This window comes from Homo sapiens, chromosome 20, assembly GCF_000001405.40.
Source record: "Homo sapiens chromosome 20, GRCh38.p14 Primary Assembly".
In the NCBI taxonomy this organism is placed as follows: Eukaryota; Metazoa; Chordata; class Mammalia; order Primates; family Hominidae; genus Homo; species Homo sapiens.
The window spans coordinates 35417527-35431619 of NC_000020.11; the positions used below are offsets into that span (position 1 = coordinate 35417527).

Genomic DNA, 14093 nt, shown 5'->3' on the forward strand with positions numbered 1-14093 from the left:
AATCCCAACATTTTGGGAGGCCAGGCTGGGCAGATCTCTTGAGCCCAAGAGTTTGAGACCAGCCTGGGTAACATGGCAAAACCCTGCCTCTACTGAAAACACAGAAAAATTAGCTGGGTGTGGTGGTGTATGCCTGTGGTCCCAGCTACGCAGAAGGCTGAGATGGGAGGATCACCTGAGCCTGGGGAGGTCAAGGCTGCAGTGAGCACTGATCGTGCCACTGTACCCCAGCCTGGGTGACAAAGTGAGACCCTGTCTCAAAAAATATATACATTAATTAATTAAAATAAAAAATCAAGAAACAGTTTTTGTTGTGGTTTGTTTGTTTGTTTTTTGAGATGGAGTCTTGCTCTGTCACCCAGGCTGGAGTCCAATGGCGCAATCTCGGCTCACTGCAACCTCCGCCTCCTGGGTTCAAGCGATTCTCCAGCCTCGGCCTCCTGAGTAGCTGGGATTACAGGCGCCCGCCACCAAGCCCACCTAATTTTTGTATTTTTAGCAGAGGCGGGGTTTCACCATATTGGTCAGGCTGGTCTCGAACTCCTGACCTCAGGTGATCTGCCCGCCTCTGCCTCCCAAAGTGCTGGGATTACAGGGGTGATCCACCGTACCTGGTCAACTCCCAGTCTTAACACAAACAGAGCATATAATGATGGCAGACAACATTCCAGAGAGGGCTACAAGGGAAGTAATATTCAAATGGGAAGGCCAGGTTTCATTCATGCAGAAAGTAGAAGGAACTTTCTAGGAATGGGCTGGCAGTATAGACAACTTTATCTCACATAGATTCCATAGTCCTCTCACAGAGGACTCCCCATTCTCCTTAACCTCAGCTCCCCAGTGCTGCTCGGCTTCCCTCCGCTGCCAGAGCTCCTCAACTTCTTGTACCCCAAACCCTCAGCCTGAAGCCCCAGCAATCTCCACTGTTCTCCCCAAGCTCCCTCTGCCCATCTTTCTCTTCACAATGACTTCACCCCTCAGAATTCCCATACTTCTTTATAGGCCCCACATTGAAACCCAGCCGTTTATTTAAAATAAAACAATTGGGCCAAGCATGGTGGCTCATGCCCATAATCCCAGCAACTCAGGCAGCCCAGGCAAGAGGATTCCTTGAGGCCAGGAGTTTGAGACCAGTCTGGGCAACATAGTGAGACCCCATCTCTATGAAGAAAAAAAAAATTTTTTTTTTTTTGAGAGAGACTCTTGCTCTGTCGCCCAGGCTGGAGCAATCTCAGCTCACTGCAAACTCTTGGAAAACAGTCTGGCTGTTCTATGAATTTTAAACATACAGTTACTATATGATTCAGCCATTCCATTCCTAGGTATATATCCAAGAGAAATGAAAATATATATCCACACAAAAACTTGTTTGCAAATGTTCATCACAGCATTATTCATAATAGCCGAAAAGTAGAAGCAACCCAAATATCCATCAACCAAAGAATAGATAAAAACAATATGGTGGCCAGGCACAGTGGCTCACGCCTGTAATCCCAGCTCTTTGGGAGGCCGAGGTGGGGGGGATCACTCGAGGTCAGGAGTTCGAGACCAGCCTGGCCAACATGGCGAAACCCTGTCTCTACTAAAAATACCAAAAAAATTAGCCGGGCATGGTGGCAGGCGCCTGTAATCCCAGCTACTTGGGAGGCTGAGGCAAGAAAACTGCTTGAACCCGGGAGGTGGAGGTTGCAATGAGCCGAGATCGTGCCATTGCACTCCAATCCAGCCTGGGCAACAAGAGCAAAACTAAAAAAATGAAAAAACCACAATATGCTATATCCAGACAATGGATTATTACGCAGCAATAAAAAGAAATGAAATACTAATACATGCTACAACATGAATGACCCTCAAAAAACATTAAATGAAAGAAACCAGTCACAAGAGGCCACATATTGGATTGTTCCATTTCTATAAAGTGTGCTGCCCCACCCACTCCCATGGCCAATTTTAGACCTCAACACCAGAATTGTTTGAATTCTGAAATTTTTAATTTATGCCTTCTGTGTTCTCACCATCCTATTATTCTGGTTTTCATTCATTACCCCTAGTACGCCTGTTGTTCTACCCCATTGAGACACCACACTTTTTATCTCTTCTCTTTATAGTCTATTGACCCTCTCCCCTCTTTGCTTCTCCCATCTAGTTCCCATCTGGTCTATTGTTTTAATTTCTCTCTTGCCAGTATTAACTCCCTTGCTCAATTGTCTTCCTATCTCGTCCACCTAGAAAGACCTCAACCCTCCAATTGTCTATTTATTCCATGCCTGCCTCCGGATTCTTGAGTACTATCGAAGAAAATCATGCAAATATTATATTGGTACCACTAAATATGGTTTTCAACCTTTATTAAGTTATACTCTGTCCACCTTCTTCAAAACCACCATTTATAACTACATTAGATTGTTAGGGCTGCCATAAAAAAGTGCCACTATGTGGGTGGCTTAAAGCAATGGAAATGTATTGTTTGGTAGTTATGGAGGCTGGAAGTCTGAAATCAAGGTGTTGACAGGGCCACGCTCTATCTGTAGGTTCCAGGAGAGGAAGCTTCCTTGCCTTTTCTAGCTTCTGGAGATTGCCAACAATCCCTGGCATTTCTTACCTTGCACCTGCATAACTCCAATCTCTGCCACTGTTATCACATGACATTCTCCCTGGGTGTCTGTCTCTGTGTCTCTTCTCTTCCTCTTCTTTTTTTTTTTTTTTTTTTTTTGAGATGGAGTCTCATTGTGACACCCAGGCTGGAGTGCAATGGCGCGTCTCCACTCACTGCAACCTCCACCTCCCAGGTTCAAGTGATTCTCCTGCCTCAGCCTCCTGAGTAGCTGGGATTAAAGGCACCCACCACCACGCCTGGCTAATTTTTATATTTTTAGTAGAGACGGGGTTTCACCATGTTGATAAGGCTGGTCTTGAACTCCTGACCTCATGATCCACCTGCCTTAGCCTCCCAAAGTGCTGGGATTACAGGCATGAGCCACCATGCCCGGCCAATACGTATGAATTCTATCTGCTCCTCGCCAATCTCCACTGCCTCCTTCCTAGGTAAGACTAACGTCTTCTCTCACCTGGACTACTACAACTGACTTGATCAGCAAGTTATGTTGATAGAGCATTTCAGGCAGAAAGAATAGCACAATTCAAGAATTGGCTTGAAGATTTTGAGGACAAAAGGAAAGCCAAGATCAGTGTGACTGGAAGATAATGAGTGAGGGTTGCAGTATAAAAGATGAGGTCTGAGGCAGGGCGAGGTGGCTCACGCCTGTAATCCCAGCACTTTGGGAGGCCGAGGCGGGTGGATCACGAGTTCAGGAGATCGAGACCATCCTGGCTAACACAGTGAAATCCCATCTCTACTAAAAACAGAAAAAATTAGCCGGGCGTGGTGGTGGGCGCCTGTATTCCCAGCTACTCGGGAGGCTGAGGCGGGAGAATGGTGTGAACCCGGGAGGCAGAGCTTGCAGTAAGCGAAGATCGTGCCACTGCACTCCAGCCTGGGCAACAGAGCGAGACTCCGTCTCAAAAAAAAAAAAAAAAAAAAAAAAGATGAGGTCTGAGAGGCAGGCAGAGTCCAGATTTTGGGGGCCTTGAAGGTCCATGATAAGGAGTTTGCATTTTATTTTATTTTATTTTAAGCAAAGCAGTGACATGTTTTAAAAGGGCTCTCTTAGCTGGTTTACAGAGAATAGATTGTAGATCATAGCATAGTTTACTTCCAGCATGCTCTTTAGGCTTGGCAAGTTGAGATGTTAATGCGACCCCAATTTTGGGGCTTGCTCTAGCTTGCTTTCACTGTATATGAAACTGGAAAGCTATCCAAGTTGTTTTCATTTTAGCTTCAAATAAGGAAACCTCTTTTATTCTCTGTTAACTGCCAAGGATCAAGAGTCCCTCCCTGGAAGAGGTAAGGTGATACATTCTTTCCCTGGAGAAAAAAACTGTTAGAGGAAGCCAGAAAGAAGAAGGGAAGGGGGGCAGTGTCCCAATCCCATTAGATTATGCAATCAAGCCGAAGGTACCCACCTCCATTCAAATAAAGTGATTGTGCTTTCCTAAAACGAAAAGCCATTGTCTATCAAGAATTTATGCTGATTTACAAATTTATCTATGTGAAAATCTTTAGGAAAGTTAAATATTTAATAAATCACCTTTTTTTTTTTTTTGAGATGGAGTCTCACTCTGTTGCCCAGGCTGCAGTGCAATGGCGCGATCTCGGCTCACCGCAACCTCTGCCTCCGGGGTTCAAGCAACTCTCCTGCCTCAGCCTCCTGAGTAGTTGGGATTACAGGTGCCTGCCACCACCCCCGGCTAATTTTTGTATTTTTAGTAGAGACAAGGTTTCACCACGTTGGCCAGACTGGTCTTGATCAGCAAGTTATGTTGATAGTGCATCCTGACCTCAGGTGATCCACCCACCTCGGCCTCCCAAAGTGCTGGGATTACAAGTGTGAGCCACCACGCCCAGCCAATCACCTTTTTTTTTTAGAGATAAGGTCTCCCTCTGTCACCCATGCTGAGCACAGTGGCATGATCACAACTCATTGCAGCCTCAAACTCCCGGCTCAAGTGATCCTCCCACCTCAGCCTCCCAAGTAGCTGGGACCACGGGCACATACCACTAGGCCCAGGTAATTATTTTTACTTTTTGTAGAGATGGGGTCTTGCTCTGTTGCCCAGGCTGGTCTCAAATTCCTGGACATGAGCGATCCTCCCACCTGGGCTTCTGAAAATGCTGGGATTATAGGTGTGAGCCACCTTGCCCAGCCATAAATCATGGTTTGTTTTTTATTTTTTTGAGACAGAGTCTCACTCCGTCACCCAAGCTGGAGTGCAGTGGCATGATCCCGGCTAACTGCAACCTCCGCCTTTGGTGTTCAAGAGATCCTCCTGCCTCAGCTTCCTGAGTAGCTGGAATTACAGGTGCACACTACCACACCTGGCTAATTTTTGTATTTTTAGTCGAGACAGGGTTTCACCATGTTGGCCAGGCTGGTCTCAAACTCCTGGCCTCAAGTGATCCACCTGACTCGGCCTCCCAAAGTGTTGGGATTACAGGTGTGAGCCACTGAGCCTGGCCAAATGACCTTTATTAAAAAGACAAATTTTATGCTGAAACTGTTCTAGAACTTTCAGAATATATATACTCTATGACTACAGGACAATATTTGCCAATGGGATCAGTTATGATGTCTGTTTCTCTTTGAGGAACAGTCTATGCCCTTTACCTGTCAATTAACCCAGCAGAGGGCTGGTTTCTGTGTCTTATTGGCCCCCACACAAAGTTGTTTTCTTTGCCCCTTAGTGCAGTGCAGACAATTCTATTAAGAAACCATTCTATTGGCCGGGCGCGGTGTTTCATGCCTGTAATCCCAGCACTTTGGGAGGCTGAGGCTGGCGGTCACTTGAGGTCAGGAGTTTGAGACCAGCCTGGCTGATGTGGTGAAACGCTGTCTCTACTAAAAATACAAAAATTAGCCAGGTGTGGTGTCATGTGCCTGTAATCCCAGCTACTCGGGAGGCTAAGGCATGAGAATCTCTTGAACCTGAGAGAAGAAGGTTGCAATGAGCCAAGATCACGCCACTGTACTCCAGTCTGGGTGACAGAACAAGACTCTGTCTCAAAAAAAAAAAAAAAAAAAAAAAAAAAAGAAAAAGAAAAAGAAACCTTTCTATGAATCTTATTGTTGTGTTTATTGTAATAATGTAATTGAAGATATTTGTTACATTAGTTTTCAAGAATGGCTGTACAATTTGCTGAGCAATGCTTGATTAACTCAGATGCAATAACCTGTGTAATAGCCTATTTTCTTGCTTTGTATTGATTGCTAGACAGCTTAGGTATTGCTCACCTGTAGCAGATATAGATCAATATGATCCACATTTTAGCCCCATTCTTGGCTTCATTTTGTTCCCTTGTTTTCTTTTCCTATTGATTCACATTTGATTTATCTTGTCTTGCATTTTACATATCTTACTAAGACTTTAAAATCAATTCTTAAACATGGCAAAATAGGAAGGGGTGAATGATATTGAATATACTGAAACCATTTCCAAGCAGGCATTAAATTCTATCCTTTTTTGAGACAGAGTCTCACTCTGCCACCCGGGCTGGAGTGCAGTGGCACGATCTCAGCTCACTGCAGCCTCCGCTTTCCAGGCTCATGCCTCAGCCCCCTGAGTATCTGGGATTACAGGCCTGTGCCACCATGCCCAACTAATTTTTGTTTTCTTAGTAGACACAGGGTTTTGCCATGCTGGCCAGGTGGTCTCAAACTCCTGGCCTGAAATGATCCATCCGCCTCAACCTCCCAAAGTGCTGGACGGGTAGATTGCTTGAGCTTAGGAGTTCAAGACCAGCCTGGGCAACATGGCAAGACCCCGTCTCTACAAAAAAGAGATAAATAAATTGTTGGCCGTGGTGGTGCACAGCTGTGGTCCTGGCTACTCAGGAGGCTGAGATGGGAGGATTGCTTGAGCCCAGGAGGCAGAGGTTACGGTGAACCAAGATTGCGCTACTGCACTCCAGCCTGGGCCACAGAGGGAGACCCTGTCTCAAAAAAAAGTAAAAATATGGCCAGGCACGTTGGCTTACACTTGTAATCCCAGCACTTTGGAAGGCCAAGGCAGACGGATCACCTGAGGTCAGGAGTTTGAGACCAGCCTGGCCAATGTGGTGAAACCCCGTCTCTACTAAAAATACAAAAAAATTAGCCAGGCGTGGTGGCAGGCGCCTGCAATCCCAGCTACTTGGAAGGCTGAGGCAGGAGAATAGCTTGAACATGGGAGGCAGAGGTTTCAGGGAGCCAAGACGGTGCCATTGCACTCCAGCCTGGGCAACAAGAACGAAACTCAATCTCGAAAAAATAAAAGAAAAAGAAAAAGAAAAAATAATGGAAATTATTTGTTTGCATTCCTGTCTCTATAACTAGACTATAAACTCTTTTGAAGGCAGTTATTGTTCATTCATTCAACAAATACAATGGAGTCACATTATGTACCCATTTGACTTACTTGACTTCTTAGGGAAAACATAAAAAAAAGAAGAAAGACCAATACTCTATGATTCCACTTATGTAAGGTACCTGGAGTAGTCACGTTCATAGAGACAAAAAGTAGAAGGGTGGCTGCCAGGGGCTGGGAGGAAAGGGAAATGGGAAGCTGCTCAAATGGGTAGAGGGTTTCAGTTTTGCAAAATAAAAAAGTTCCAGAGATCTGTTGCACAGCAATGTGAATATAGTTAACAGTATAAAGTATGCGCTTCAAAATGGCTAAGATGGTGAATTTTGTTATGTGTTTATTACCACAATTTTTTAAAAAAAGAAAAGGAAGAAGAATCAGCTAGCAGTGCTTGAGATGAGAACATGAATCTGTGCTGTTTCCACGGCTGGTCTTGGTTCCTTCCTTCATAGAGTATGCATCTCACTGGGCTGAATGTGATTTTATTGTTTAAAGATAAATGTTTCTGGCCAGGTGCGGTGGCTCACGCCTGTAATCCCAGCACTTTGGGAGGCTGAGGCAGGAGGATCACCTGAGGTCAGGAGTTCGAGACCAGCCTGTCCAACGTGGTGAAACCCTGTCTCTGCTAAAAATACGAAAATTAGCTGGGCATGATGGCGGGCGCCTGTAATCTCAGCTACTTAGGAGGCTGAAGCAAGAGAATTGCTTGAACCTGGGAGGCAGAGGTTGCAGTGAGCCAAGATCACACCACTGCACTCCGTCCTGGGCAACAAGAGCAAAACTACAACTCAAAAAAAAAAAAAAAAAGGATAAATGTTTCTTACAACATGGCCCCTACATGCAAGGCAGCTGCTTACATGGGCCTTAATCAAAGAAACTGTTTTCCTATTGGAGGGGAAAAATGGTCATACTAAACTTGTTAAGAGAAGAGAGAGTTAAAAGAATCTTCAAGGATCATTTTTACTATATGAGTATTACCATATAGTAAAATATATTATATATCAAAAATATATTACGTATATCATGGAGTTCCTAGTACCAGTTTTTACTACTGTTTTCTTTCCTCACCAACTCTCAAGCGATATGTCTAATCTTTGAGGCCCTGGCTGTTGGGTTTTCTCTGTTCTCCAAGTCAGCACCTCTCAGAAGGCAAGTGGACAGCCTCAAGTGCCCAAACCTAAGGGACTTGGCAGCTCCCAGCTGAAGCCATCCTTCACAGAGTCAGTGGAACCAATCATCAACATGATATGATTTTAAGGATGGGAAGATATGTCCTCTGCACCTTGCAAACTCATGTTATTCGTTTGCTCATATAGTCCCTATGCTGAATATGTCTTCCTTCAACCCTGCTATGGCTTGAGTATTTTGAGTGTGTCCTCCAAAAGTTCATGTGTTGGAAACTTAATCCCCAATACCATAGCGTTGGGAGGTGGGCCCTAATAAGAACGCGATTGGGTCATGAGGGCTGAGTCACTGGGAATTGATTAATGTTGTCATCACAGAAGCAGGTTAGTTATTATGAGTGGGTTTTTGTTTTTTTGTTTTGTTTTGTTTTGAGATGGAGTCTCACTCTGTCGCCCAGGCTGGAGTGCAGTGGCATCATCTTGGCTTACTGCAACCTCTGCCTCCCGGGTTCAAGCGATTATCTTGCCTCAGCCTCCTGAGTAGCTGGGATTACAGGTGCGCACCACCACGCCCGGCTAATTTTTGTATTTTTAGTAGAGAAAGGGTTTCTACTAAGCTCCATCAGGGCTGGTCTTGAACTCCTGTCCTCGTGATCCGCCTGCCTTGGCCTCCCAAAGTGCTGAGATTACAGGCGTAAGCCACCGCGCCCAGCCAAGAGTGGGTTGTTATAAAGCGAATCCAGCCCCGGATGCCTTTCTCTGTTTCACATGTTCGCTTCCACCTTCTGCCCTTTGCCCATGGGATAAAGCAGCACAAGGCCCTCACTGGATACCAGCACCACACTCTTTAACTTCCCAGCCTCCAGAACTGTGAGCTAAATAAATGTCTGTTCATCACAGATTAACCATTCTGTAGCATTCTGTTACAGCAACAGAAAATCGATCAAGACAAACTCCACTCAAGTTTCATTCAGTCTTCAGGACCCAGCTCAGTCCCTTATCCTCCGTGAAGCCTTCTTACCATTTTCTCCATTGTTCCACTCACTTGTCATGTGAACATTTAATTACCTTCTTTCTCTTATTTACCTGAGTTAAACTATTATGTATTTCTCACATAATTCTTTATTTCTTTCTTTACTTTTTTTTCTTTTTTCAGACACAGGGTCTCACTCTGTCACCTAGCCTGGAGTGCTGTGGCATGACCATGGCTCACTGCAGCCTCAAACTCCTGGCTCAAGTGATCCTCCTTTCTCAGCTGCCCAGATAGCTGGGACTACAGGCGTGTACCACCAGGCCCAGCTATTTCAGAGACAGGGTCTCAGTGTGTTGCACAGGCTGTATTCTTTTTTTCTTTTTTGAGACAGAGTCTCACTCTGTCACCCAGACTGGAGTGCAGTGGCATGATCTCAGCTCTCTGCAACCTCTGCCTCCCGGGTTCAAGCGATCCTCATGCCTCAGCCTCCCACGTAGCTGGGACTACAGGTGTGCACCACCACGCCTGGCTAATTTTTGTGTTTTTAGTAGATATGGGGTTTTGCCATATTGGCCAGGCTGGTCTCGAACTCCTGACCTCATGTGATCCATCCGCCTTGGCCTCCCAAAATGCTGGGATTACAGGAGTGAGCCACAACTCCCGGCCCAGGCTGTATTCTTTTTTTTTTTTTTTTTTTTTTGAGACAGACTCTCACTCTGTTGCCCAAGCTGGAGTGCAGTGGTGCGATCTCGGCTCACTGCAAGCTCCGCCTCCCAGGTTCACGCCATTCTCTTGCCTCAACCTCCTGAGTAGCTGGGACTACACACGCCTGCCACCATGCCCGGCTAATTTTTTGTATTTTTAGTAGAGACAGGGTTTCACTGTGTTAGCCAGGATGGTCTCAATCTCCTGACCTTGTGATCCGCCCGCCTCAGCCTCCCAAAGTGCTGGAATTACAGGCGTTAGCCACTGCGCCCGGCTAGGCTATATTCTTTACTTCTTTTGTTATTATTTAATATGTCATGTTTGCAGGCCTTGACTCCCCCATTATCAATAAATACAGGTAAAGTTTATAGGCCAGACATTCTTCAAAGGACTTTTTATGAACATTATATATAACCTTCCCAACAGCTCCATGATATAAGAACTATTATTGTCTCCATTTGACATATGAGGAAACTTGAGGAAAGATAGCTGTGGTGACTTTGCACAAGTTCACACAGCAAGAATGAGGCATAGCTGGAGTTTAATTTCAGGCTGTCTGACACCATAGCTCAAACCTATGTTCAATGTGCAGGATTGGAGGGATCTTTAGTGTTTATCTAGTCAACTTCCCTCTCTTGCACTGCTCTTTCTCTTCCTCTAAACCAAGCTCAAATCCCTTTTCCAGTTTCCCAAGTCGTTATCTAAACTCTTTTTTTACTTTTTGCTTTCTATTTTTATTTATTTATTTTTTTTAAGATGGAGTCTCACTCTTTCACCCAGGCTGGAGTGCAGTGGCATGATCTCGGCTCATTGCAACCTCCACCTCTTTGGTTCAGCAATTCTCCTGCCTCAGCCTCCCAAGTAGCTGGGATTACAGGTGTGCGCCACCCCATCCAGCTAATTTTTTTTAATTTTTATCAGAAACGGGGTTTCATCATGTTGGCCAGGCTAGTCTCGAACTCCTGGCTTCAAGTGATCCACCTGCCTTGGCCTCCCAAGGTGCTGGGATTACAGGTGTGAGCCACCACACCTGGCCTATTTTTTATTTTTTTGAGACAGGGTCTCCCTCTGTTTCCCAGCCCAGGCTGGAGTGCAGTGGTGTGATCTCAGCTCACTACAGTCTCGACCTCTCAGGCTCAAGCAATCCTCCCACCTTAGTCTCCTGAGTAGCTGGGACTACAGCCACACACCACCATGCCCAGCTAATTTTTAAATATTTTTTAGAGACAGAGTCTCCCTATATTTCCCAGGTTGGTCTCAAACTCCTGTTCTCAAGGAGTCCTCCCACCTCAGCCTCCCTAAGTGCTGGGATTACAGATGTGAGCCACCACACCCACCCCTAAGCTCTTCTTGCCATGGAGAACTTAGTATTTTGCCTTTTCCATCTTTAGACTTAAAAAGCTCTCCTTTAAATTCATCTGACTTCTGCCTAAGGAGGAATATAGTATAGTAGCTCATCTGTACAATGGAGATTATAGTAGCTATCTCCCAGGATGGTTGTAAGGAATGAATGAAGTCAGGACAAAAGCATTTAGCTCAGTGCCTGGCACCAGGAGCTGCTGAACACACAGCAGCAATGAGCTATCCTTTACTTCTCTTTACAGATCTGTGCTTTGGAGCCACACAAACCAATCACTTCTCTTTTACCCATGGTAGTCCTTCAGTCTTTTTTTTTTTTTTTTTTAACATGGAGTCTTGCTCTGTCACCCAGGCTGGAGTGCAGTGGTGTGATCTCAGCTCACTGCAACCTCCGCCTCCTGGGTTCAAGCTATTCTCCTGCCTCAGCTTCCGGAGTAGCTGGGACTAAGGTGCATGCCACCACGCCCGGCTAATTTTTGTATTTTTAGTAGAGACGGGAGTGTTGGCCAGGCTGGACTCGAACTTCTGACCTCATGATCCGCCTGCCTCGGCCTCCCAAAGTGCTGGGATTACAGATGTGAGCCACTACGCCCGGCCAGTCCTTCAGTCTTGAAAGCTGTGATCATTTGCTCTAAGTTGTCATCACTCTGCTCTTCCTCTTCCTCCTTTTCTTTTTTTATCTCTATATCTCTAGTTCCTTCAACTGAATCTCACAAGGCATTGTTTCTAGGCCCCTTATTATTCTGTCCTCCTCTGCCCCTCTCACTGTGGTCACTGAACAGAGTGAAACCACAATTTCCTTGGGTTTGTGCTACGTGTCTATTAATGAAGCCCACAATTGTATTAGCATTTAGGCCGCCGCATTATATTCAGCTAGCTCCAGCCAGCTCCATTGAGTTCGTAGCCACCTACAGCACCATTTCTTCCCCATCTGAAACTGTGAAATCATGTTTTTTTACATTCTATACCTGTGCAGTTGGTTTCATGAATTCAGATGGATAATTTGACTGTTTTCTCTCTTTTATTTTATCTCCTCTGATTCAGCCTATCTTATCCTAACATCTTTTGGAATCTTTATGTCTTCTTCCATTTATGCACAGATTTTGAGGACAGGATTGTTGCAAGGTAAGAGAATTCCTGTAAAGCACAAGTACGTGGCATGCAATAAGTCCTTGATAAACATTAACAATGGTGATTGTTATTATTATCCTCAGCACAGCATCTGGCCCATAGTTGACTCTCAATAAATAGTCACTGATTAATGAATGAGTGACTGGATCCATGATTGGTGAAATGAATGAATGTTCCCTCTCCTGAATCCTAGGCCCAGTAAATTTGATATTATCCTTCTTTTACAGATAGGAAAACTGAGGCTCAGAGAGCTTAAGGAACTTCCCCAAAGTAGCTCAGCTGGAGAGTGGTAAAACCAGGACTAGAACTCAGGTCTGCCTGATTCCCAGGCCTGTGTGACTAACACTTCCCCACTATACTTTCTTACATCTGTATTCAGGTCAGAACTAGTTGTGGAGTCAGAAGTCTGAGGGGTTTCCCGAGATTGTATGTTCCATGCCCTAGAAAAGCGGGTTCTCCTGTTGTGACCCTGGGAGATGTGGAGGGGCCATGAGATGGGGGACAGAGCACTGGAAGCCTCTTCTCTTTTCTCCCCCATGGGCCTCTCAATTTTCACTGCCTTAAACTCTGCTTAGCTGTTTCTCGCAAGAAACTAACAGCGCTGTGTGTCCCCAAGGAGAAACTTTTAAGACCAAGGAGCCAAGACCCAGGGAGGTGATTCAACAGCTTGCCAGGACTGCAGTCAGTGGAGTCAAGGGCCCAGAGAGCAGCAGCAAGAATGGTATAAAGAACACTGAGGGCCCAGCGCAGTGGCTCATACCTGTAATCCCAGCACTTTGGGAAACCAAGGTAGGAGGATTGCTTGAGGCCAGGAGTTCAAGAGCAGCCTGGCGAACATGATGAAACCCCATCTCTACTAAAAATACAAAAATTAGCCTGGCATGGTGGCACTCGTCTGTAGTCCCAGCTACTCAGGAGGCTGAGACAGGAGAATCTCTTGAACCCAGGAGGCAGAGGTTGCAGTGAGTGAGCTGACATTGTGCCACTGCACTCCAGCCTAGGCGACAGAGGGACACTCTGTCTCAAAAAAAAAAAAAAAAAAGAAGAACACTGAGGGCCAGGTGCGGTGGCTCATGCCTGTAATCCAGCACTTTGGGAGGCTAAGGTAGGAGGATCGCTTGAGGCTAGGAGTTCAAGACCAGCCTGGATAACACAGTGAGACCTCATCTCTTAAAAAAAAAAAAAAGTTTAAAAGTTAGCCAGATGTGGTGGCACACACCTGTGGTCCTGGTACTTGGGAGGCTAAGGTGAAAGCTGCAGTGAGGTGAGCTATGATTGTTCCACTGAATTGCAGCCTGGGCAACAAAGCAAGAAAGACCCTGTCTTTAAAAAAAAAAAAAAGAAGAAGAAGAAGAATGCAGACCTGCAGGAAGCTGTAGTTATCACTCTGCCTCTTTGGATATCAGCTTCCGCATCTGTAAAAAGTGAGGGTGGAGAGTTCTTGCTTTACCTGCTTCACTACGCAAGGCATGGCAATGATAACAGCTAACACATCCTGAGTGCCACCTCTGTGCCTGCTCCTGTGTTGAGTGCTTCTCATATCCTTGCAGTTAGCACCATGAAATAAGCATATTGTTAACCCTCTTTTTTTTTTTTTTTTTTACAAATGAGGAAACCAAGGTTCATGGAATTAAGTTACTTGCCCAAGGCCTCTAACTCTAAGTGACAGAACTGAAATTTTGAAAGTGTGCAGCCTTCAGAGCTGAGTGACCATGGGTGGAGAGTGTTTGTGAACTCTCAAGTATGATAGATGCCTTGTACCCTTTGGGGCAAGAATGAACAGTACCAGTTTGCAGCTTGTTATGGTTGCGGTTGGAGGTGGGTGGCTGGGGGAGAGTGTTTTC

The 14093-nt window shown here is 45.4% G+C and overlaps 1 annotated feature.

Moving 5' to 3' along the window:
* Positions 10213 to 10413: a silencer, noted in NCBI's record as "peak4201 fragment used in MPRA reporter construct". NCBI's record gives its function as "represses an SCP1 promoter by STARR-seq MPRAs in K562 erythroleukemia cells {active_cell/tissue: K562}" and the evidence as "EXISTENCE:reporter gene assay evidence [ECO:0000049][PMID:32103011]".